Source organism: Homo sapiens, chromosome 18, assembly GCF_000001405.40.
Source record: "Homo sapiens chromosome 18, GRCh38.p14 Primary Assembly".
Taxonomy (NCBI): Eukaryota; Metazoa; Chordata; class Mammalia; order Primates; family Hominidae; genus Homo; species Homo sapiens.
This window is the reverse complement of record NC_000018.10, coordinates 59,164,876-59,192,170: the sequence shown is the minus strand read 5'-3', so window position 1 is coordinate 59,192,170 and position 27,295 is coordinate 59,164,876. Positions and strand designations below refer to the sequence as shown.

Sequence of the window (27,295 nt, the reverse complement as noted above, 5' to 3'; positions counted from 1 at the left end):
GAAATATAGACCTGAGCTCTTGGTGGGATGAGTGTCTGTCACATTGTAGTTAGGAATGTTGGACTGGATTTATCATAGGCAATTTGCATCCTAATCACCCCCATCTACCTTGCACAAAAAGGCCCAGAAGACACTCCCTCAACTAAAGCATTGAGAAATCCATAAGTGAAGGGAGAACCTGAATCCTTGAAGAGCTTCGTGGTTGCTCTTCTTTGTAGAGCAGATACGACAGCGGTGGAGACCACCATTGAGATAGGCTCCATGATTTCAAAGGGGGTAAGAGAAGCAGGATAAGAAAGGGGATAAGTGGCTACATTTAACCACCAAAGTCATGGTGGGTGCATCTACTATAAAGGGATGCAGAGATGCACTGGTAATAAGAATTCCTAGACTTTCAAAGATGTTCAGTGGTGGTTAATTGATCATAGTGTCCATGGGAAGAAAACAGCCTACTAGAGTGCTTCTTGGTGTATGTAACAGGAAGACTCTAAGTCTGGTAGCCCCAAAACTGACTTGAGTCACCACAGTGGAGAGTCATGATTATTCACTGAATTTCCAGACATAAGTCAATTAACAGACCCACAATCCATTAATTGAAGCTAGCTTGGGGCTCTTTGAGGAAGTACATATGTACAAACATACATGAAAGTACATAAAATACATATACAAATGTTTGATGCACATATTATAAATCTTCCTCAAATTTCCCCCCCTAGAGACTTGGGACCATTTATTAGAAGAACAGTGCATTGGGTAAAGGGAACTACCTGGACTTTTTTGGGAATTGCTAGAAACTGGCTCTGAATTAATTCTAATTCTTAGAGACAGAAAATGCCACTGTGTCCCACAAACAAGAGCGGGAGCCTTCAGAAATCAAGAAATATTTGGAGCCTTAGCTTAAGTTCAACTTACAGTGGCCTAGTTAGTCTACAGACCACTCTGTGGTTACTTCTCCAGTTATTGAATGTAAAATTAGAAAAGACATCTTGGAAACAGGGAGAATCCCCATATTGGCCCTCTGACATATGGAATGAGAACCAATATGTCAGGAAAAGCTAAGTGGAAGCCCTTGGAACTTCCCTTCCTGACACAGGTAGTAAACCAGAAACGATATTACATCCCTGAGAAAACTACAAAATTACACCATCAAAGACTTGAAAGATGCAGAGGTAATTATATCCATCACATCCCCAGTTAGGTTACCTGTTTGGCCTGTAGAAGCTGAATGGATCTTAGAGAATGACTAGGTACTGCCATAAACTTAATCAGGTGGCAGCTCGAATTGCACCTGCCATCCCAGATGCATCCTAATAATTTTACTTGAGAAAATTAACAGATGTGGTGTGCAGCTATTGACCTAGATGAAATCTTTTTCTCTATTCAAAATTATGAGGATCTCCAGAAGCAATTTGCTTTGACCTGACAGGGCCAAAAATTCACCCTCACAGTCTTGCCTGAGGGCTTTTTCAACTCTACTGCCCTCTGGCCCTAATACAGTCCATAGACAGCGTGGTCATCTCTACAGTCCACAAAACATCACACCCATACACTATGTCGACATTATTCTGATTGAATCTGATGAGCAGGAAGTAGACAGTTACTTTAGATACCCTAGTAAGTCATATAGAACCTAGAGGGTGGGAAATAAACCCCACACATTTCAAGGGACCACCACCTTAGTGATGATTCTGGGGGCTCAATGGTTTGAGCCATGTCAAGCTATTCCCTTCAAGATGAAGGATAAGTTGCTGCACTTTGCACCATCTACCATGAAAAAAAGAGGCATAATGCTTGATTATCCTTTTCGGGTTTCAGAAGCAACACATACCACATTTGAGTGTGCTGCTTTGACCAATCTACAGAGTCTCCCACAAAGATGCTTGTTTTGAGTGGAGACCAGAAAAAATAAAGTCATTGCAGCATGTTCTGGCTGCAATGCAATCTTCCCTACCATTTGAGTCTTATGATCCTGCAAATCTGATGATGCTAGAAGTGTCCATGGCAAATGGAAATATAATATAAAGTACCTGGCAGGCTCCAATAGGACAATTATGGTGCAGACCTCAATGATTTAGAAGCAAATCTATGCCCTCTTCTGCAGCTACCATTCTCAGTAGCAAGGTTTTGCCCTGTTATTGGCTTTGCTTTGATAGAGACTGAATACTTAATCATGGTTAGGCCTGAGCTTCCTGTAATGAACTACATATTGTCTGATTCATCAGCTTTAACGGTTAGCATGTGCAACAGCAAACAGTCATGTAGTGGAAATGGTATAGGAGGGACCAAGTGCAAACAGGTCTGAAAAGTACAAGTAAGTGGCATGAGGTGGTACCTGTGATTCCTTCAACACTTACTGTTGTATTTCCTCCTCTCCATCAATCTACATCTGTTGTCTCCTGGGAAGTGACATATAATGAATTAAGCAAAGAGAAAAAAAAAAAACCCTCAAGCCCATTTACAGATGGGTCTGTATGGTGGGCTGGTACCACCCAACAGCAGACAGCTTAGGCACTGCAGGCTCACTCAGGGACAACTGTGAAGGATAGCAGTAAGGAAAACCCTCCCAGTGGAAAACCATTTTGCGGTACATTTGGTTGCCCAGTAGATTTGGAACAAGAGATGGCCAGACATATACTAATTCATGGGGAGTTGCTAATAGTCTGGCTGGATAGTAAGGGACTTGTGATAGAGGCAAGAGGCAGACAAATGCCTAGGCAGATAGGGAAGGGTCCCCGATGAAACCTCACCTTCAAGCCAAAACCGCCTGAAGGCTGAAAGACTGGACTGCTGGTCCCAGATGAAACCCATGACCCAGAGGGAGGACTTTTGCCCCTGTTTGCCCACCCTTTCCTGATTGATTCTTTCTGAATAATGCCTTTAGCCTCTTGAATGTTGCCTTTTTCAATACTATCTATGGCTTGCCTGGGCATGCCCACATGTGCACTGGGGTAATGGGGTGGAGCCACCAGGAATTCACGCCTTATGCAGGGGCAGAGCCTGGCCTCTTCAGCTAGTGTGTGGTGGCCCTGGTGAGGTGGAAACCTGCTTGCAGGACCTCTCTCTTAGCTTGGAGCTTTCCTTTCACTTAATAAATTCTGCCCTCCTCATCCTTCAATGTGTCCACATGCCTAATTCTTCCTGGTCGTGAGATAAGAACCTGGATTGAGCTGAACTAAGGAGCAAAAATTCTGCATCACTAGGAAATAATATTGAACGATTGGTGACAAGGAAATTGGGAGAATAGATATGTGGATACAAATTCTGAAGATATTTGTGTCCCACGTGAATGTTGACCAAAGGGCATTGATATGGTTTGGCTGTGTCCCCACCCAAATCTTATCTTGAATTGTAGCTCCCGTAATTCCCACGTGTCATGGGAGGGACCCAGTGGGAGGTAATTGAATCATGGGGTCAGGTCTTTCCTGTGCTGTTCTCATAATAGTGAATAAGTCTCATGAGATCTGATGGTTTTATAAAGGGCCGTTCCCCTGCACACGCTCTCTCGTCTGCCACCATGCAAGACATGACTTTGCTCCTCCTTTGCCTTCAGCCATGATTGTGAGGACTCCCCAGCCATGTGAAACTGTGAGTCATTTAAACCTCTTTCCTTTATAAATTACCCAGTCTCAAGTATGTCTTTATTAGCAGTGTGAGAACAGGCTAATACAGGCATCTACTGCAGAGGAGCCTCTGCAAAATAATCTGCAAAGTGATGGGCTCTGAGGATATCAGTCTGCCTCTTTCCCTAGCTGCCCCAGTGCTTACTCAGTGGGACCATGAACGAAGTGGCTGTGGTAATAGGTATGGAGGCTCTGCATAGGCTCATGATACGGACTTCCCTCTGCCAAGGTTGATCTGGCTAATGCTCCTGATGAGTGCTTCATCTTCTAACAGCAGAGACTACATTGACTCAATATCGTGCCATTCATTGGTACACTGGACCTCTCCTATCATGGGGAGGGCAGGGATTTGTCTAACTTGAACAAACAAGTGTTCTGAATATGGATGTGCCTTCTCGGCCTGTTGCGTTTCTGTCACACCATGCTCACAGATGCCTTATTCACTATTATGGAACAGCATTGCCTCTGATGGAGGAACCCATTTCAGAGCAATGGGCTCATGCCTGTGGAACCAACTACTCTTGCTACATACCCTACCACTTAGAGATGACTGGCCTGATGGAAAGCCTGAATGTTTTCTTGAAGACTAAGTTACAGCACCAATTGGAATATGGCACCTGGAAAGTATGGTGTTCTATCTTAAAGGATATGTATAAACTTTGAATCAGAGACTAATATTAGGTCTGTCTCTCCCACATCCAGAACTCTTGGGCCCAGGAATCAAGGGATAGGAGTGGAAGTGACTTCTCTCACTATTATACCTAATAATTCATTCTCTTTTTCTATTTTCTGAAAAAGTTTGTAGAATATATAAATTATCGGTTCCTGACTATGATGTAAAATGCACTTATAAAACGATCTGCATCTATGGGGGCAGAGGTATTTGTCTGGTTATTTAATTTTTAAAATGATTTTTGTTGTTATTTACTTAGACTTTCTCTTTATTCTTAAGTTAATTTTGATAATTTGTATATTTCTAGGAAATTATCATTCTTCCCTGTATATTCACTTTTTTACCTAAAATTATCCAGGTATTTACTAATGATTTCAAAAATCTGCTGTACCTGTTTTCATCCCTTACTAGTTTTGTTTTGGTCATACAGTTAATTTTGTTCAATCTTGCCAAATATTTTCTATTTTATGTGTCTTTTTAAAGAACCACTTGGATGTTGTTTGACCTTCTCTACTGTTTGTTTGCTATTTTATTAATTTTCTCTCTTAATTTTATTATTATGTTTCTTCAATGTTCTTTGGGTCTTCTCTTCTGTCCTTTTCCTAGATTCTTAAATTTAAGAATTCATATGTTTTTCATCTTTATTTTCTTAATGTAAGTATGAGGCTATTAGGACAAATACCTAACGCATGCGGAGCTTAAAAACTAGATGGCAGGTTTATAGGTGCAGCAAACCACCATGGCACATATATACGTATATACTAAACCTGCACGTTCAGCACATGTATCCCAGAACTTACAGTAAAATTTAAAAAAATTAAGTATAAGGCTATAAATTCACCTCTAGGTATCATCAGTGTATATTGCAATTGTAGCTCACCATATGTGAGTCTGCTACTGCCATCAGTTCTAATGATCTTTTCCTGTCCATCATGGAATGATGTTTAAGCCATGAGTTCTTTAGGAGTGCATGCTTCAGTTTCCAAATATGTGGACATCTTTACTTGATTTTCCAGTTAATTTCCTTTAACAATAGTAATAATAGAAACTTGTTTGAAAATTGAGTCCTGATATGTAATCCTTTTCTTAATGTTTCAGGTGTTCTTTAAAAGAGTATATATTTTCTTTCTTTTTGTTTTTTTTTTTGTTTTTTTGGATGCAGATCTCTCTAATTATGCATCACTTTGAACAGATCTTCCATAGACGTTTTAATTTTTTTTCTTTTTTTGACATGGAGTCTCACTCTGTGGTGCAGGCTGGAGTGCAGTGGCATGATCTCAGCTCACTGCAACCTCTGCCTCCCGGGTTCAAACGATTCTCTTGCCTCAGCCTCCCAAGTAGTAGTAGTAGTTGGGATCACAGGCATGCACCACCACACCCGGCTAACTTTTTTTTTTTTTTTTTTTTTGTATTTTTAGTAGAGTCGGGGTTTCACCGTGTTGACCAGGCTGGTCTCAAATTCCTGAACTCAGGTGATCCACCCGCCTTGGCCTCCCAAAATGCTGGGATTACAGCCATGAGCCACTGAGCCTAGCCCATCTAGCAATCTCTGATAAAGGTTGTTAAAATTTTCCACTCTGGTTTTGTTACTCGTAATTCTTTTAGTTTTTACTTGATATATTTCAGGGTTGTGTGTTAGATACATACAAGATTATGTTGGCTGCATGCATTGTTTTGTATATGATGTAGTGTCTTTCTTTATCCTTAGTAACCTTTTTAAATTAAATTCTATTTATTTGATATTAATATTGTAAAAGTTTCCTTTGACAAATATGTGCCTTGAATATCATTTCCAAAACTTTTCTTTTTAATCTTTCACTGGTAACTTTGTTTTAGAAATTCTCTGGACTTGGTTCATTATAATTATCATCATTGCTCTTTTGTGTTAATCTAATTGGATGGTCCCTGTCCTTTAATAGGTAGGCTGATTCAATTTATATCTACTGTGATTACTGTTGCATTTGAATTATTTCTACCATCTGGTTTCTCTTTACCAACTTTTTACTTCTCTTTCTTCTCTGCTTTCTGTTGGGCTAATAAAGATTTTTATGTTCTCTTTGTTTTCCTCTCCTGTTTCAGAAGCTCTTATTGATATTTCATTCTTGTAGCATTAACCTTATTTATTTCTAACAATGGGTCAAGCTTATCAGTATCTCTAGTTCTTTCTAGAACAACACAAATACCTGGGTATACTTGCCCATTAAATCTCTGCTGCTACCCTACTTCATTCGTTTACTCATTCAACAAATACTTTCCAAACACCTCCTATGTGATAGGGGCTGTGCTAAGGATTGAAGGTGAAGGGATAGCAGAGAACAGCAAAACTCCTGTCTCTTAGGGAGCTTATACTCAATGGGGAACTGACATATGCATGCCTGTTTCTTCTTGTTATTGTCCAGAGCTTCATCTTTAAAGAAAATAAAATGCACAAAACTGTGCTCATTATTTTTTATCTTTTAGTACTCAATAATTAATTAAAATGCCCTTAGTCGTCCTCTGTCTACAAAGCTCATCAGTGTGTCCCTACTCATGTGCGATAGTAAAGCTAGGTAGAATTCCATATTAACAGATTTTTTTTTTCTTTTTTTGAGAGGAATCTCACTCTGTCACCCAGGCTGGAATGCAATGGCACTATCTCAGCTCACTGCAACCTCCACCTCCTGGGTTCAAGCAATTCTCCTGCCTCAGCCTCCACAGTAGCTGGGACTACAGGTGCACGCCACCATGCCCAGCTAATTTTTGTATTTTTAGTAGAGACGGGCGGGGGGGGTTCACCATATTGGCCAGGCTGGTCTTGAACTCCTGACCTTTTGATCCACCCACCTTGGCCTCCCAAAGTGCTGGGATTACAGGTGTGAGCCACCATGTCTGGCCCTAGCCCTAACAGATATTTTTCCAGCCCGTAAAAATTTCACTTCACGAAGTTCTAGAATAGACTGTTGTGGATAAGTCTTTTTTTTTTTTTTTAGTTGGAGTTGCACCCTTTTTGCTCAGGCTGGAGTGCAGTGGCACGATCTCGGCTCACGGCAACCTCCGCCTCTCAGGTTCAAGCCATTCTCCTGCCTCAGCCTCCCGAGTAGCTAGAATTGCAGGCACGTGCCACCACGTCCAGCTAATTTTTGTATTTTTGGTAGAGATAGGGTTTCACCATGTTGGCCAGGCTGGTCTCGAACTCCCGACCTCGTAATCCACCCGCCTCGGCCTCCCAAAGTGCTGGGATTACAGGCGTGAGCCACAGTGTCTGGCCAAGAAGTCGTCTTTTAACCTAAATGCCACTTTGTAGGTAACAAGTCATTTCTCCCTGATGACTCCAAAGATTTTTCTATCATTGATGTTCTTCAGTTTCACAGATATGTCTAGGTAAAGATTTAATTTTATTTACTTTTCTCAGTACATACAGAATATCTTTATGGTGAGGGTTCATGACTTTATTCAGTTCTGGAGTATTCTGGAATAAGATCTTCAAATAATGCTTCTCTGGAATTTCCTCTTTTGTACTTTCTTGACTCTTTATTGGTGCATGTTGTAGTCTCTCACTCTAGCTTCTGTGTCTACCTGTTTCTTGTTTTTTCTTTCTGTGTCTCTTCGTTTCTCTGGCCTGCACTCAGGAGCATTACGTAGTGTTACCTTGAATGTATTAGTTATCTCTTCACCTGTATCTAGTCTAGTATATCCTATCCCTTGAGTCTTTAATTATCATCAGCATACTTTTATTTCCTAGATTTCAAATTCCTTGTTTTTCATACACTCCTGTTTTTCATCCATTTGTGCCTAATTAATGTTGATTTTTATAGTTGGTTTTCCTTCATTTGCCTTTAACAATCTTAAACATAATGACTTAAAATCCTTTAAACTTTTAATTAATATTTTAATTTCCAAGGGAGTCAGTTAATTAAATTGATCTTCCTGGTATTTATTTTCCTGTTCAAGTTCCGAATTTTGGGTTGTAGTTTCATCTTTTCTAGGAGGCTTCTCTGGTGGCTTTGCTGCTGTCCCCACCGACTCTCCACGTCCCCATAGTAAACAGTCCAGAACCAGCTTTTATAAAAGCCTTGAGATACTGCAAAGCCAGACACAGAATCAGGTAGCAGCGTAGCGAAGGTCCTGTGAGAAAGGATGTGTTAATGTCCTCCTACCTTCCTTTTTGGGCATGCAGCTATGAAAAAAAACAGAACCTTAATCAACTCTTGCTACAGCTTTTTCCAGCCTTTTTATTCACATGGGGGAAGCTTACTCCTGCTTTGCATTCAGTCCAAGACCCTGGTTCCATTTCCCTATCTCATAGCATTCTTCTTTTTATTTTTTATTTTTGTATTTTTTGAGACAGACTCTCACTCACTCTCTCGCCCAGGCTAAAGAGCAGTAGCACCATCTCGGCTCACTGCAACCTCCACCTCCCGGTTCAAGTGATTCTTCTGCCTCAGCCTCCTGAGTAGCTGGGATTACAGGTGCACACCACCATGCCTGGCTAATTTTTGTACTTTTAGTAAAGACAGCTTTTCGCCATGTTGGCCAGGCTGGTCTCAAACTCCTGACCTCAAGTGATCTGCCTTCCTCGGCCTCCCAAAGTGCTGGGGTTACAGGTGTGAGCCACTATACCCAGCCTCTCATAGCATTCTTAATCCCTGCAGTTCCCCAGGAACTGAACCCCAGACTAGCTCTGCCTGTTATAACCAAGAGCCCCGCAGGGCAGCATCTGCTAGTGTTTGGTGCAGAGGTGGCGCTTATGAGACAGAATGTCTTCAAAGCGTTATTCTTGCCACCAGCATCCAATCACCTCCCCATTTTGGTACTCTCCCCAGGCACTCAGGATGGTATTGCAGCAACTCCAAGTGCACTTATACCACATCTTCCCAACCCTCCATCAAAATATATATCCTATATATCACTATCCTGAGCCTTTAATCTCCTCTGTGCAAAATTTAACCTGACTTCTCTAATGCTACCCACATTACAGCTGGGACAAATTACCCTTAAGGGAAGGAGTAGTCCCAAGTGAGATTTTATGTTTGCAGCTGGTATTCCCAGCCAGAGGAAAGCATTCCTAAGGGCCAACTCCAATAATAACAAGACAGAGAATTGCTAACATCTTCAGTGTAATTATTCCAAGGTATCTGAGTTTCCGTTTTATTTTCTTGCAGAATTTAATTATATATTTGATTTCAGCTACTTAAATGTCATAGCTAAAGACACCAGGCTTTGTGTAAGACTGGGAAATTAAAGGATTACATTCATTAATTCATGTTATTTAATATTTACACGTTTTGGCAAGATATTCATTGGTCTAAAAAAGTTTGGGCCAGACATGGTGGCTCACCCCCGCAATCCCAATACTTTGGGAGGCCGAGGCAGGAGGATCACGTGAAACCAGGAGTTCAAGACAGCCTGGGCAACAAAGCCAGACCTTGTGTTTACAAAAAAAATTTTTTTAATTAGCCAGGCATGGTGGCACATGCCCGTAGTCACAGGTACTGAGTGGGGGGATCACTTGAGCCCACGAATTTGAGGCTGGCAATGAGCATTCCAGCCTGGACAACAGAGCGAGACCCCATCTCTTAAAAAAAAAAAAAAGAGTTGGTGTTTATTAAAGTCACTGCTACCCTTTCAGCAAGCAAAGATCGACTTAAATTCCCACACAGGGGAGGTTTTACTTTCGCATATTGCAGGAACCAGGTAGTGTTCTAGTGCATGCTGACCCATAATTAATTTGCAGGCTCACACAGGAAAACCACCAAAACGCCTTGGTACTGGACAGTAAAAATGAGGTGTTATGGATAGATTTGTTTTTTTTTTTGGAGATGGATTCTCACTCTGTCACCCAGGCTGGAGTGCAATGGTGCAATCTTGGCTCACTGCAACCTCCGCCTCCTGGGTTCAAGCAATTCTCCTGCCTCAGCCACCCAAGTAGCTGGGATTAAGGCACCCGCCATCACGCCCAGCTAATATTTTTGTATTTTTAGTAGAGATGGGATTTTAACATGTTGGCCAGGCTGGTTTCAAACTCCTGACCTCAAGTGATCTGCCCGCCTCGGCCTCCCAAAGCGCTAGGATTACAGGGGTGAGCCACTGTGCCAGACGGATTCATTTTATTTTTTCACTTTTTGAGACAGAGTTTCACTTTTGTTGCCCAGGCTGGAGTGCAATGGCGTGATCTCGGCTCACCACAACCTCTGCCTCCCAGGTTCAAGCGATTCTCCTGCCTCAGCCTCCTGAGTAGCTGGGATTACAGACATGCGCCACCACACCCAGCTAATTTTGTATTTTTAGTAGAGACAGGGATTCACCATGTTGGTCAGGCTGGTCTCAAACTCCTGACCTCAGGTGATCCACCCACCTCGGCCTCCCAAAGTGCTGGGATTACAGGCATGAGCCACCGTGCCTGGCCGGGATTCATTTTTTAACTTAAAGTAATATTTATTATTGTTGTACTCATGCGTAGTTTTTGGCTCCAACAAATTAACCTCCTGTGTGTATATCACCAATATCACCCAACAGTGGCCAGAGAAGAAGCCCTGAATCCATCACCGAGAACCCCAAGGCCTCAGGGTGAGTAGCAATAGAGAGTCACCTCTGCATTCTTTCAGGTCCACATATTTTTCACCAGAGCTTTTCATAAGTGGGTACAAAGTATATCGATTTGAATTTTATCTCCCTTCGCTCTTCTTCTTTTGCATACATTAGCCAGAAGCAGGTATCAGGAAAACTCAAATGTCTGGACCATTTAAAAACTGGGTAATACATTCCTAAATGTGCAAATTACCTGTCTTTTTTTTTGTGTGGAATTTTAAAATGGAGATAGAGCCAGTGTTTCTGAAGGACAATAACATAAGGAAATTAGAAACGTCATATGTTAAGCTATCATAATCAAAAAACTCTGAAACAGCCCATCGAAAACACACTTTTGCAAATTCTGAGGAAAAAAGGCCACTGACTTTCATGCAGACTTTAAATATATATTCATAATCTACAATTTACTGCTGTGCTCTGGCCTCTAAAACTTTTTATAATCTTCCATTTTTCTTCTGGTACAGGAACGTCACTCCATGGTTCTTAATATTTCTGCTTTACTTTGGGCTGTCAGGAGTAATTTCCTTGTGGTTAGAGATGCAAATAGCCTCCGCCTTCCTTGGAGGGTCGCCCAGGCCCTGCCTAATCCCTTTTCCGGGGGAAGAGGCTCCATGCAGATGAGACACAGAAAACTCAGCAGCTAAGAAAGGCAGTGTTTGGGGAAAAAATGAAATTTGAAAATTCCTTTAGTGGTAGCTGTCATGGAGTGTTTTCAATATGGAGTCCTGCTTAGTACCTCCTGTCAAATGACACACCCTGTCCTGGGGCTGGTGCCAATAGAAACATAGATTACAAGATTCAAGCAGATTGTTTCATCCACGTTCACCCAATAAATGTAATTAGTAAGCACCCTCTCAGCTCCAGACTAACAGAGATTGTACCCTGGAGCTCCAAGGAAACAAGGTAAGAACCAGCACGCAGTGGGAGGGCTGATCACAGCAGATGATCCCAGTATGATCAGGTGAGCATGGGTACAGAGGGTGTTCTTGACTGGGCAGTCACAGAAGGGCATGGACAGGAGACACTCTCTTTCCATGTTGCCTTTAGGTCGTGGTTGATTTTCTGCGGATGAGCCTCATGGCTCTGTTACCCAGCGAGGAGAAGAAACACTTTTCACCTGGGCTCTTGTCTCAGTGTATTCTGAGCCAAATCAATACAGCACATCCTACCACCAGTGAGGATCTCAGGTTTTTCTCATTCTGGTACCCTTTCCTATGAGGCCGTCTGACCCAGTAGGTTCAAGTAGAAACCCCAAAACCTCCAGAGGAAAGGCTGGAAGGTGATAGCATCCTGGAGCCTGGCTATTCCACGTGGGTCCACTGACCAACGGCAGCAGCACTGCCTGGGAGCTCGTTAGAAATGCAGACCCGCAGCTCCATCCCAGAACTTCTAAAGCAGAATCTGCGCTTTAACAAGATCCCCAAGTGATTCCTATGCACAGTGAAGTTCTGAGAAGCACTGACTTAGGGGCGTTTATATGTGTGGGAACCAAAGTGCTAACCTTCCTACCTGCTAAAGGCTGAATGTCTGTGTCTCCCCAAATTCGTATGTTGAAATCTAAGCCCCAGTGTGATGGTATTAGGAGGTGGGGCCTTTGGGAGGTGATTAAGTCATGAGGACTGAGCCTTCATGGATGGGATTTGTGCCCTTGTAAAAGGAACCCCAGAGAGCTTCCCCAGCCCCTTCTACCCTGTGAGGACACAGGGAGATGATGGCCATCTAGGAATCAGGAAGACACCTCACCAGACACTGAACCTGCAGGTGCTTTCATCTTGGACCTCCTATCCTCTAGAACTGTGAGTAATCAATCTTTTCTTTTTCTTTCGCTCTTTTCTTTTCTGACACGGTCTTACTCTGTCACCCAGGCTGGAGTGCAGTGGTGTGATCACAGCTCAATGCAGCCTTGAACTCTCTGGTTTGAGCAACCCTCTTACCTCAGCCTCCCAAGTAGCTGGGACTACAGGTGTGCACCACCAGACCTGGCTATTTTTTTTTTTTATTTTTGTATAGATTGGGTCTTACTATGTTGCCCGGGCTGGTCTTGAACTCCTGAGCTCAAGTGATCCTCCCATCTTGGCCTTTCAAAGTGCTGGGATTACAGGCATGAGCCACTAAGCCTGGCTGAGAAATCAGTTTCTGTTGTTTAAAATCTACTGATTGTATGGTATTGCTACAGCAGCTCAATGAACTAAGATACTACCTTCCTCAACTTCATACACATAACACTGAGGTGCGCTTCTCAGATTCTCAGATATTGCTTTGCCATAAAGAGAGAGGGATTTGAAGAGAATGCTGCAAGGAGGAAGTGAGTGAAGCAGGTGGCTCTCAGGGAGGGGCTGCCTCTGAGGGGATCTTTGCTCCATGGCAAAGGTGAGGTGGGTAGAACACCATCTAGAAATTCTCGCAGTCGACAGGGCTAGAGATGCAGGGATCACTTGTCCTAGTAATATCCCCTGGAAGAGGAATCCCTGACCTGCTTAATGGAGACCACTTCTCCTCCACCAGAGGTAAGAAAGCTGTTTTTACATTGTGACGTTCAACCCTGGCTGCCCATGACAGTCACCCAGAAGCTTGAAGAGATAGAATGCCTGGTCCCCCCTGCAAAGACTGTCTTTCAAATAAACTGGTTGGGGCCAGAAACCCTGATTATTATTATTATTATTATTATTATTATTATTATTATTATTATTGAGACAGGGTCTCTCTTTGTTGCACAGGCCGGAGTGCAGTGGTGTGATCACAGCTCACTGCAGCATGGAACTCCCAGTCTCAAGTGATCCTGCCACCTCAGCCTCCTGAATAGCTGGGACTACAGGCATGCTCCACCAAGCTCAGCTAATTTTTGTATATTTTTGTGGAGATGGGTGGGGGGGGGGGGTCTCACTTTGTTGCCCATGTTGGTTTCAACCTCTTGGCCTCAAGTGATTCTTCCTCCTCAGCCTCCCAAAGCACCCAGATAATTCTAACGGGCCACGGCTGAAAACCACTAAGGATAGGAAACTCTTAGAAAATGATAGCTGTTAGAAAGTCCTGGGTCTACTCTAGCTGCTTCCTTCCCACTTCCGGCCTCTTTTCCTTTCTTGCGCCTAACTCCCCACCTGGCAAAAGCTGGAAACGACAAGAGATGGGGGAGAGGCAGGATGACTCCAAGTGCAAAGGAGTGTGCACCACTCGAGGTCCTAGCAGCCATCTACCGTGGCTGCTGGTGAGAGGCACTTCTGACGGGAAAGCCCATCCCAGCTCCCTGGTATACCTGCTGTGGTGTATACTCTGCCAGTGCTGGGCCCAGGTTGCTCAATCTATAGCCAGGGAGAATTACAGGAACTGTCTGGAGCTCCACTCCCAGACAATTTGTTACTTACCTCTTTATCTTCGGCTACTTGTTTTTCAAATTTCCTCTTAAACCCCTTAATCTCCATTTTACACCTTACTGTCATAGTCCTTGCAGTGATTTCTCATTTTGTAAGTTCCTAGCAGTTGCCTGAATGACACAAATTTGTTATTTTGATTTTTTTATTTGACCAATTTGGACTGAGATTTTAAGCTAACCCATGCATCAAAAGCCACATATGTGCATATACGTAGGGTATGTGTGTGCGTGAGGGTGCAGCCACAGCATGGATGGGAGCCAAGGCATTTTCATATAACATCAATTTCCAATGGGTGTGGGAAGCCAAGCTTGTCAGCATGGGCCACTGTGCAAGATGCTGTCTAAACTCAGTTAATTAGACAAATCCCTGTGTTCGATAAACGTAAATGTGTGACTTAATGGACTTAGAGAATTTACAGCCCCTGCTCCCCAAATTTCCCTACCTTAGCTATCAAGGTATCTGCACTGACCCCATCTGTGTTACCTCCCATGGAGATTGGAGACAGACGTTAAGCCCCTATTCGTGACTATGTTTTTGCCTATTTGGTTAGGAGCTATGCCTTCAAGGTATGAGACCCAGAAGAGGCAACCTGGGGAAGCCCCACAGGACCTGTGAGGACCAAAAGACATCTAGAGGTGGGTGGAGAGGGTGCCCAAGGATTTTTTTTTTTTTTTTGGCTTTTTTTAGGGCAGAGCCTGGATCAATCCCCACAGCCCTAGCAGAATGCCGAGAACGTAAAGGGCAAGTGAATACCTGGTCAAGAATAAATGGACAGTTACACACAGTACAGATGTGGAGCAGTGTCCCAGTGTTTGAAGCCTCTGGCTGACACCACCCCCCTGCCCACCTCCTCCCAGACTCTAGACAGCACCTTGTGGGTGCGAACACCAGGGAAAGCCTCCCTGCCCCTCCCGCTTCTTTCCACCTCCAGGCTGATCGGCCCAGGCTTGTCACAGCTGTGCATTGAGACTTGACACCCTGTGCCCATATCACTTAATTATCAGGACTGAGACAGCCTAAGCAAGATAGGGAGACCCTGTCTCCACAAAAGAAAATTGTAAAATTAGCCAGGCCTGGTAGTGCACGCCTGTAGTCCCAGCTACTTAGAAGGCTGAGGTGGAAGGATTGCTTGACCCAGGGAGTTGGAGGCTATAATGAAGTATGATCATGCCACTGCACTCCATCCTGGGAAACAGAGTGAGACTCTGTTGCTAAAAAAAATAAAAATAAAAAATAAAATAAAGTTAAATTAAAAATGATAAAAAATTTATTTAAATGAACTAAGAACTGAGGCCACCTGTGTCAATGTGGCTTAAATGTTTTAGGAAATGCTTCTGGAAAGAGAAGGGGCAGAGGCAGGCTGAGCTAGAGGATTTTATCTTTCAGGCCCTCTTGCTACTTAATTCAACACCACAGAAGGAACTTGTTTTCTTAGGAACCAGGGCTGCCTGGCTTTCTTAGGAAGCAGAGGAAGGACCTCAGACATGCTGTGGGACAGAAGGAACAAGAACAACAAAGAATATCTGAGAGCAGGATCTGGGTCCCAACACAGGAACCCAGGATCTAGAAATCTCCAAGTTTCTACTGGAGGAATGAAGCTGGGTGCCGTAGTCACACAGATGTAGGTGGTTTGTCTTCCCTCCATAGTGAAATAATTTAAGATTCTGTAGATGCTGCTTTCAAAGATCTGCAGAGGGCTCCCAGGAAAACTGTGTTTCAAACTACTATCTACTACCAGATAGTAGACTTTGGAGATTAATAATTTAAAGTGTCAAGAAGATAAAACTTTTTTTTTTTTTTTTTTTTTGAGACAGAGTCTCACTCTGTTGCCAGGCTGGAGTGCAATGGTGTGATCTCGGCTCACTGCAACCTCCACCTCCCAGGTTCAAGCAATTCTCCAGCCTCAGCCTTCTGAGCAGCTGGGACTACAGGTGCATGTCAGCACGCCCAGCTAATTTTTGTATTTTTAGTAGAGACAACGGGGTTTCACCATGTTGGCCAGGATGGTCTCGATCTCTTGACCTCATGTTCCGCCCGCCTCGGCCTTCCAAGGTGCTGGGATTACAGGCGTGAGCCACCGCACCCGGCCCATAAAACATTTTTAAGAATAGAATTCCTCTGGCATGGAATTGAGCTGGTATCTTTTCTCATCAATGAAAGCACAGTTTCAAAAGATGGATCTATGAGCTTTAAACAAAGGAAGCCTTGTACACGGAGAGGAGAGGGGAGCCATGATCTTACGTGGGCCCAGGCTGGGGTGGTTACATCTCTGCTGCCTAAGAATTTGCATGCTTGAAATAAAGCATTTTATTTTGCGCTCAAGAGCAGGCCTGAGTGGGAAGCTGCTAAGAACTCACTACAGAGGATGCTGGTCATGAGAGAAGGGACTTGGGCTGTCATCCTAAGGAGGTGGTCCCAGTGACTGCTCTTCTACCAGACCTACTTTTATAGTCACAGAGGGCATGAGAGGACAGCCTAAGTTGTCCCGCAGTCTGGCAGTTGAGGGCATTTCTTTGATGTTCCTGAATTGTGGGGAAGCCTAGAAGAGAGCAGAGGGAGGTAATGTGACTCTGTGCCCTGGGAGCCTCTCTATTTCACAAGTTTGTTCCCAGGTCCCTGGACCAATGTGCAAAGGGCCTGTAGGCATTACTACCCTAGAGTTATTCTGAGCCCCATACTGAAGGGTGCGGGTCCCTCAGAATGTCCAGCAAAGTAAGGCAAACTACCTGGAGTCCATCCTTGTCCTCTGGACTTTGTCTTTTCCACCAAAAACAAGCCAGACAGATTCAAGCATAGTATGAATGTATCCTCCATTTCCTGGGTTAGCAACTTGAAGCCCATCAACAAAGTTCTGGGCTATCCTCAGGGACACAAAGAAAGACTCGGTCGTGTTCTCTGACCTTTGCAGCTAATAGTTTCTCTAGCTAGAGGAAGAAAGCCACTGAAAAGGAAATTGGGTACACAGGTACAATTAGACTGCACAGAGGTCACAAGACAATAGAATGGAAAGCAGTATCCTCCTTTTGTGCATATCCATGACCCTTCATAAAATAGTCACAAATATGATGTTTTGATTACACTCTCATTATCTGGAAGAACAGGTCACGTGTTTATGTACGTGCCATATGCCTCATTATTGGAACCTGTTTCTACGTCTTCCTCTAACTCTACCATATGAGTTATACCATATAGTGGGAGGTAGAGACTTCCTCCCACTATAAAAACTGAAAATCTGAGCTATTTTATTTCTCAGCCTTCCTTTCATCAGGGCATAAGCATGTCACCAAGTCTCAGTCAATCAAATGTAACCCATCTGGACTTTTTGTCTCTGAAGAAGCAGAGAAAGAAGATGGCCAAGGCACGCACATCTCATCTCCAGAGACACTGTGGATGCCATGCCTCTGACTGCACCCACTGTCCAGAGCTCATGGTTACTGATAAAAGTACCAGAATCATGTGATCTAAAGTGGTAGACACAGTATATTCATAGGACTGTTAGTAGCCTCACCTTTTTTTTTTTTTTAATAAGGTTTTGAAAATTTAACCTCCCTCTCTTCCTCCATTTTCTGAGACTGGATCTCTTGCTTCCATAGCAATTTGGTGGGTTACTAAAAACCCTTCCAGAAAATTGTTTTTCTGGTTGGATGAGAATTAGTTTCTGTTATTTGCAACTTAGACTGGATAGATATATCACATAAAATACAACAAGTTAAAAAATATTAGGTGGTGATAAAACTAGGATTTTAAAAAATAATTTCTACTTCTGAACAAAGCAAAGTGAATAGGAGCAAGATTTATCCTCTCACTTTAAGCAACTAGAAAACTGGATAAAATAATGAAACAATATCTTTACACACTAGACAACAGGCAGTGCAAGCCTGTAATCTCAGAAAAGGAACAAGATGAGCCCTATTATTGCACAAGCTTATTGCCTAGAGACAGTTTCCAGACCACAGCATATGGAGGAGAAACCCAGAAAGAGCCCAATAATCTTGAAGACTAGAGAAGATAGGGCTCACAGTTCAGAGAGGTCAAGATGGCTAGAATGTGTGGGACAGAGTACTAGAGAGAAGAGAGCTGCACAGAGAGAGCTCTGGAAATCTGCAGAGGGGTCCTCTTAAATTTTTGACTGAGAACTAACCTGCATATACATGAGAAAAAGAGCAGGGAAAGAACCACCTAAAAGGAGCACACAAAACAATTAATGAAGTGCAGGCAGGACTGGAATAGCTTGTACTCCCTCCAGCCAGAGTGGAATGACCTTGTAAACGTGGGTCATCATTTAGAATCCTCAGAAGGGTATCATCTTAGCAGTGGGCTTACATTAGCCCTGGGCCAAAAGATAGACTAAAACCACCTTAACAGAGCTTAAGAGCAAGTCTCAAAAGAAAAAAAAATATTCAAAAGAATACAACAAAGTCTAGTGCCCAGAAACAAATTTGAAATGTCTGGTACCAAATAAAAAATTCCCAGGTATCCAAAGCATCAGAAAATTATAATCGAAAATGAGAAGAAAAAATTCAATATCACAGGCCCCAAAATGACAGACATAATGGATGTCAAGGACATTAAAAGAGCTTTTATGAATCTGTTTCTTATACTCAAGAAGGTAAAGGAAAACATTGTCATAATGATGACGGAAACAAAATACACGTTTAAAAATATATCTAGAGGTAAAAAAAAAAAAACTGAAGTAAAAAACACATTGGATGAGATTACCAGTAGATTACACACTGCAGAGGAAAAGATCAGTAGTCTTGAAAACATAGTGTATAAATTACTCAAAATGAAGCACAGGAAAAAAAGACAAAAAATTAAAGCATCTGTTACCTGTGGGATGTTCGACATATGTGTGACTGGAGTCCCAGAGAGGACAGAGAACTAGACAGGAAAAAATGGAAAAAATAATGGCCCAAAATGGTCCAAACTTGACTAAAACCCACAGGTTCAAGAAACCCAGTGAACTCCAATGAAGTAAATAAACCCATGTCAGAGATCATCACATGCAAACTGATGAATACAAGTAATAAACAGAAAAATTTTTAAGTAGCCAGGGGAAAAAAGATGCATTATGTTCAGTGGAACAAAGATAAGGATAACAGCAGACTTTATGTTCGAAATTATGTAAGCCATAATATAATGGAAGTTCATTTTTTAAAAACTGAAAAAAACCCATACCTGTCAATCTAGGTTTCTTTATCCAGCAAAAATATTCTTCAAAATCAAAGCAAATGAAGACTTTTTCAGCAAATAGAAGCTGAAAGAATTCACTGTAAGCAGGCCTGCACTATAAAAATAGTTGAAGTTTTTCAGGCATAAAGAAATATCTACATTCATTCCTTTGATAATCTCATCCAGTTTTATGGCTTTTAAATAGTATCATTAACCTAACAACTGCTAAGTTTATATCTCCAGCCTCAAACTCATCCCTGAACATACGTACATACAACTGCCGGCTCAACATCTCAACTTGAGTGTTTAATAGCATCACAGACTTACTGTGTCCCAAACCAAATATCTAATTTCCACTCACAATCTTCACCATCTGGATAAATGACAACATTATCCTTGAAGTTTCTCAGGCCAAAAACCCTTCAAAGTGTATCCTAAATCTGACCATTTATTTTTATTTTAAAAAAAATTTTATGGATACATAATAGTCATACATATTTAGTGAGCACATGTGATATTTTGATATAAGCATATGATGTGTAATGAACAGGGTAATTGGGATATCCATCACCTCAAATATTTACCTTTTCTTTTTGTTAGAAGCATTCCAATTCCAATCCTCTAGTTATTTTGAAATATACAATGTTATTTTTAACTATATTCACCCTATTGTAGTATCAAACAATAGCTCTTATTCCTTCTATATGACTGTATTTTTGTACCCATTAACAAAGCCCTCTTTATCTCCCCACTCCCCACTACCTTTCCCAGCCTCTTGTGACCATCATTCTACTTTTTACCTCCACAAGATCAATTTTTTTATCTCCCACACATGAGTGAGAATATGTAATATTTGTTTTCTGTACCTGGTTTATTTCATTCAACCTCATGTCCTCCCAGTCTATCCACGTTGTTGCAAATGACAGGATTTAATTCTTTTTATGGCTGAGTAATATTCCATTTTGTATATGTATCATTGTTTCAATTTATCTATTGTAGACACTTAAGTTGATTCCATATCTTGGCTATTGTGAATAGTGCTGCAATAAACACAGGGCACAGATATCTCTTTGACATACTGAGTTATTTTATTTTGGCTACATACTCAGCAGTGGAATTGCTGAATCATTTAATAGTTCTACTTTTAGTTTTTTGAGGGACCTCCATACTGTTTTTCACAGTGGCTGTGATAATTTACATTCTCACCAACAGTATATGAGCATTCCTTTTTCTTCACATCTTCACCAGCATCTGACATTTTTTGTCTTTTGGCTAAAAGCCGTTTTACCTGAAGTGAGGTGACACTTCATTGCGGTTTTGATTTTCATTTCCCTGATGATTAGTAATGTTGACCATTTTTTAAATATACCTATTGGCCATTTGTAAGTTGTCTTTTGAGAAATGTCTGTCCATATCTTTTGCCCATTTATATATAATATTATTTTTTGTGATTGAGTTGAGTTCCTTATATATTCTGGTTATTGTTCCCTTTTCAATTGAATAACTTGCAAATATTTTCTCCCATTCTTAGCTTGTCTCTTTGTTCATTGTTTCCTTTGCTGTGTGGAAGCTTTTTAGCTTTATGTGACCTCATTTGCCCATTTCTGCATTCGTTGCCTGTGCTTATGAGGTTTTACTCATGAAATCTTTGCCCAGACCAACGTCCTGGAGAATTACTCCAATGTTTTCTCCTAGGAGTTTCATAGTTTCAGGTCTTAGATTTAACTTTTAATCTGTTTAGATTTTATTTTTGTATATATTGAGAAATAGGGGTCAAGTTTTATTCTTCTGCATATGGACATCCAGTTTGCCCAGCACCATTGATTGAAGAGCCTGTCCTTTCCCCAATGTACGTTCCTGGCACCTTTGTCAAAAATTAATTGGCTGTAAATATGTGGATTTATTTCTGGGTTCTCTATTCTGTTCCACGGGTCTATATGTCTGTCTTTATGCCAGCACTCTGCTGTTTTAGTTAGTACAGCTTTGTATTATGTAGGTAACATGATACCCCAGCTTTGTTCTTTTTGTTTTTTTTTGTTTTTTTTTTTGAGAGGGAGTCTCGCTCTGTCGCCCAGGCTGTAGTGCAGAGGAGAGATCTCGGCTTACTGCAAGCTCGGCCTCCTGGGTTCACGCCATTCTCCTGCCTCAGCCCCTCGAGTAGCTGGGACTACAGGTGCCCGCCACCATGCCTGGCTAATTTTTTGTATTTTTAGTAGAGATGGGGTTTCATCATGTTAGCCAGGATGATCTCGATCTCCTGACCTTGTGATCCGCCCGTCTCGGCCTCCCAAATTGCTGGGATTACAGGTGTTAGCCACCGCGCCCAGCTGCTTTGTTCTTTTTTTAAATCAGGATTCCTTTCACTACTTGGGGTCTTCTACAGTTCCATATAAATGTTAGGATTGTTTTTTCCTTTATGTGAAGAATGTCATTGGTATTTTGATAGGGACTGCGTTGAGTCCATAAATTGCTTGGGTACTATGGACATTTTCAATATTGTTTCTTACAATCCATGAACATGGAATCTTTCCATTTTTTGGTATCTGCTTCAATTTCTTTCATCGATGTTTTATAATTTTCATTGTAGAGATCTTTCACTTCTTTAAGTTTATTACTAGATATTTTATTTTATTATCATTATTTTTTTTTTTTTTAGAGATGGGGATCTCACTCTGTCACCCAGGCTGGAGTGCAGTGGGGTGATCACATGTAGCTGCAACCTTGAACTCCTGGGCTCAAGCGATCCTTTTGCCTCAGCCTCCTGAGTGGCTAGGATTACAGGTACAAACTATGGGTCTGGCTCTTTTATTTTATGTGTAGCTATGGTAAATGGAATTGCTTTCTTGGTTTCTTCTACAGACAGTTCACTGTTGGCATATAGAAATGCTACTGATTTTTGTAAGTTAATTTTGTATCCTGCAATTTTATTGAATTTACAGTTCTAATAGTTTTTTTGGTGGAATCTTTAGGTTTTTCTAAATATAATATCATGTCATCTGAAACAAGGATAACTTGATATCTGCTTTTCTAATATGGATGTCCTTTATTTCTCTCTTATTTAATTGCTCTGGCTAAGACTTCTAGTACTATGTTGAATAGAAGTGGTGAAACTGGACATCCTTTCCTTGTTCTAGATCTTAAGGAATGTTTTCAGTTTTCCCTGTTCAGTATTATATTAGCTGTGGGTTTGTCAAATATGGTCCGTGTTGTGTTGAGGTATATTCTTTCTATATGCAGTTTGCTGAGAGCTTTTATCCATTTCTTCTACTTTTTCCAATTCATTGGCATATAGTTGCTCATAATAGTCTGTGATGATCCTTTCAATTCCTGTGGTAACAGTTGTAATATCTCCTTTTGTCTATTTGGGCCTTCTCTCTTTTTTTCTTAATATGGCTAAAGGTTTGCCAATTTTGTTTACCTATTGTTTTTTTCAGTTTCAAATTTTATTTCATTAACTTAAAAGACAAAATGTTTATTTCAAATCTAATTGAAATTTATCTGAAACAAGTAACTTATTTCAAGTAACTTATTGTACCGTCCATTGTCCATTTAAAAATATTTGTTCTTCCAAATAACTGCACTGAAAGACTAAAAACTTCTTTTATACTTCATGAAAGCGAGATGCAAACTTCTGATGTAAATTTGTTTCACTGTCAACTTCGATAATAAAGAGGAGAGGCACAAGGGTTCACAGCTCAGTTAAATGACGCAAACAAAAAGCTTCTGTTTTCCTCCAATACAAATTCGAAGCCTCCATTCATGTCTCTGACAGTAGTACCACAAACTTGATGCTGACACTAGGTTACTTCTTTTTCTTCCCTTTCCCTTTTTTACTTCCCTCTCCTTGTTGAAGACTTTGGTCACCTCCTCCTGTTTTTTGTGTCCTTCGTTTTAGTTTAGGTATTATTTCTGCTGCATACAACATTACTGACTTACATGATGGGAACTGTACAAGGCAGAGGCCGCCATCTTCCTGTTTGAGCTGGAGCCGTTTGAGCTGGTCCTGTTTGAGCTGGACCTGTTTGAGCTGCCTCTGTATTGGACATCACGATTCCATTCTCTAGAGTACATTTAATTTTTCTCAAGAAATACGTTAAGTCCAACTTCTGAACATACATCTTGAATCTCTGTAGCTGTAGGATTTTCAACAGCCTTACTTATGGGGATTCGCCTTCCCTCTGCGATGGTCTTCTTATTATTTAAAAAAGCAGGATAGATACAAATAAACCTGTCCTGCTTGGCCGGGAACCTCACGGCAGTGCAAGCCACCTTCACAAGAGTTCAAACAGCAACCTTGTTTACCTATTTTTTTAAAAAAAAAAACTTTCTTTCATTGATGTTTTGTAGTTTTCTTTAGTCTCAATTTTTAAATTTCAGCTCTGATCATAAATTTTTCTAGTAATTTTGCCTTTGGTTTGCTCTTGCTTTTCTAGTTAGGTTATTTATTTGAAGTCTTTCTGTACTTTTGATGTAGGTGTTTATTGCTATAAATGTTCCTCTTTATATTGCTTTTGCTGTATCACAGGTTTGGGTATGGTGTGTTTCCATTTTCATTTGTTTCAGGAAATTTTAAAATTTCCTTTTTCATGACCAGTAGCCATTCAGGAGCATGTTTAATTTCCATGTATTTGTGTGGTTTTCAAAGTTCCTCTAGTTATGGATTTCTACTTTTATTCCATTGTGGTCAGAAAAGATACTTGATATAATTTTAATTTTTTAAAATTATTTGAGACTTGTTTTGGGACCTAACATATGGTCTAGCCTCGAGAAAGTTCCGTGTGCTGAGGAGAAAAATGTGTATTCTGCAGCTGTTGGATAAAAATGTTCTGTACATGTCTTTTAGGTTCAGTTGGTCTGTAGTGTAGATCAAGTTCGATCTTTCTTTGTTGATTTTCTATATAGATGATCTTTCCAATGCTGAAAGTGGAGTGTGAAGTCCCTAACTATTATTGTATTGGGGTCTGTCTCTCTTTTTGGCTCCAGTGATATTTGTTTCATATATCTGGATGCTCCAGTGTTGGGTGCATATATATTTACAATTGTCACATCCTCTTGCTGAATTGATACCTTCATAATTATAAAATGACCCTGACTTTAGAGACAATCACATTTAGCCTCTGCTGGTCCCTAACTTACAACAACAACAACAAAACAAACGTGTGTGAAGGCCACTTCTTTCATGGCAATGATTTTTTTTTTTTCTTGAGAGCTCTGGACCTTCTGCCTTGTCAGAATCTTTGGGAATGGAGCCTAGGATTGTTAATGTATTATCGAATTGTTTGTTAGTATTTTGTCAAGGATTTTTGCATCTATGTACATCAAAGGTGAATCTGCATTTTTTTAGCGTTATTTATGGTCATTAAAGTTTGAGAGCCCTTGCTATGTGCTCTCTGGGGTAACTCAGTAGCAAAAACACACCTGTGAAATGTAACATGAAAGAGAACACTTCATCCAGTGACTGGATATATGTTCCTGGGGGAGTTATGATAGTTGTCACCAAAGCAGAACTCTTTGAGAACAACAAAGTGGGAAGATCCAGCCCTTTGGACGGCTCCCCAGACCCTGAATGCCATCATACAACAATGCAAGCTTCGGATTAATGTCAATACTCCAAGTACACTGACAGTTTGTGACTATGATTGTTTAGTAAGAAAAATGCATCAGGTGTCTGGGCTATCAAAATAAAACAGAAAATTGCTGCCATGAGTATATGGAGGATCAAAACCAAGGCTGGTGGCTTTAGCACCTTGCATATAATGCTCAACAAAATGTTAATGTTGATCAGCCTCTGACATCATTCACTCTTCACCGCACCCAAATCTGACTCCTGCCCCTCCATTAAACCAACTCTCCCCCTGGTCACCAGTGAGATGCTTTTTCTTTTTTCCATGATCTCATGGCCACATACCTAGATCTCTCCCACCCTGGGTGATATGGAGGATGTTGACGAGTCCATATCACCCCTCTGATGGAGGAGTCCATACCACCCCTCTGTCCTGGATTCCTCCTGCAGTTCAGCCACTTCTCGTCATGCTCCTTTGTGGACTTCTCCACTTACCCTTTCAATGTTGGTGCTCCCCAAACTTCTGTCTTCTTTGCTTCTGAGAAACAGGAAATTATTGTAGATAACCCCAGGTCATTCTCTAGTCTAATACCTTGAGGAGTGTTCTGGGTGGTTCTGCTAACTGAACCTAACAGATTCCTGTATCAAAATGCATTTGGAAAGCGAGAAGGCATTACATATTAAACATCAGGCATTCACAACTCCCTAGAAGTTCCATCACTTCTTTGGGCTTTATAAGGATCCTCTCATCTAAATTTTCCACCTTGAGGATCTTATTCAGTCTGGGAGGAAGTCTAGAAATGTGTAAGAGAAGCTTCTTCTCTTCTCATGAGAAGCATGTGGTCAGAGAGGTCATCTTGGAAGCAACAGACTGAAGAGGTTCTTTGAAAATCAAATTTAGGCCAGGTGCAGTGGCTCATGCCTGTAATCTCAGCACTTTGGGAGGCCAAGGCAGGCAGGATCACCTGAGGTCAGGAGTTCAAGACCAGCCTGGCCAACGTGGTGAAACCCCATCTCTTAAAAATACAAAAATTAGCCGGGTGTGGTGGTGCATGCCTGTAGTCCCAGCCACTCAGGAGGCTGAGACACAAGAATGGCTTGAATCCAGGAGGTGGAGGTTGCAGTGAGCCAAGATCATGCCACTACACTCTGCCTGGGCAACAGAGTAAAACTTGGTCTCGGAAAAAGAAAAGAAAAGAAAAGAAAATTTAAAGTAGGGCACGGTGGCTCACGCCTGTAATCCCAACACTTTGGGAGGCCGAGGTGGGTGGATCACCTGAGCTCAGAAGTTCAAGACCATCCTGGCCAACATGGCAAAACCCCTTCTCTACTAAAAATACAAAAATTAGCTGGGTGTGGTGGTGGGTGCCTGTAGTCTCAGCTACTCGGGAGGCTGAGGCAGGAACTGCTTGAACCCAGGAGGCAGAGGTTGCAGTGAGCCAAGATTGCACCACTGCACTCCAGGTTTGGCAACAGAAAGAGACTCCAACTCAAACAGGAAAAGAAAAGAAAATTTAAAAACACAGAAGAGGGCATTTTCCATGGGAAGTGTTTTTCCACTTAGTGTCTTATAGTCGAGATTGCTTTCAACGCCTTTGAGTGCAGCAGCCTGCCTTGCTCCTGATGGCCAGGGAGCAAATAAGAAGCCAGCCCTTTGTAAACTATGACTTTCTACACACGTGTCAGGAAGCTTTTGTAAGGGCCATTGTTGAGTTTAAAAAATATTTCACAGCATTTTATTTATTCACTTAGCCACTAAAAATCAGAGTAGAAAACATAACATTTTTGGGATAAAAGTAGGAAAAATGGTATTTCAGTGTCCTTTTTCATGTTTGTTTCCCATGTTAATTGAAAAGGCATCTGGCCTATGAACCATGTATGAAGTGACACCATGAGGTATGAGGGACTAAAATGTACCATCTTAAGGATGATTTGTGAAATTTGAGAATGAATCACAGGACTGCCCTTGGGTCTTTAATCCACTATCAAGTTCCAGTTGACTGTTCCTTGTGCCACCAGGTAGGAGGAGCTCTAAATGGCAGGCTGATTCTGTTAGGCTCTGTTCCTTCTTTAGTGAGAAGTCAAAATCAATCCATCTGCCTTTAAATCCACTGATCGAATCAAGAGAGGTTGAAACTGATAACCAAGAGGGAGGGGGAATGTGTACCCAGACACAAGAAATTAACCAGATGCTGGAAAGGATATCAGGCATGTCCAGTGAAACAGAAAAATAACAGAGGAAGCTCCCAATAATTCTCAGGGAGAGGAAGAAACTCAGGCGTTTCTATACCATTGCACAAATCAGGGAAAGCAGATAAAAATTAAGTTG

At 41.5% G+C, this 27,295-nt stretch overlaps 1 pseudogene, besides 1 other annotated feature; it reads right to left on the bottom strand.

Annotated features, from left to right (window-relative positions):
• Nucleotides 2,501-3,700: an enhancer, noted in NCBI's record as "MED14-independent group 3 enhancer chr18:56855703-56856902 (GRCh37/hg19 assembly coordinates)". NCBI's record gives its function as "activates an origin of replication core promoter dependent on BRD2, BRD4, P300/CBP and CDK7 cofactors, and independent of MED14, by STARR-seq in HCT116 cells {active_cell/tissue: HCT116}" and the evidence as "EXISTENCE:reporter gene assay evidence [ECO:0000049][PMID:35650434]".
• Nucleotides 22,834-23,697, bottom strand: LOC100286992 (signal recognition particle 19kDa pseudogene; annotated as a pseudogene).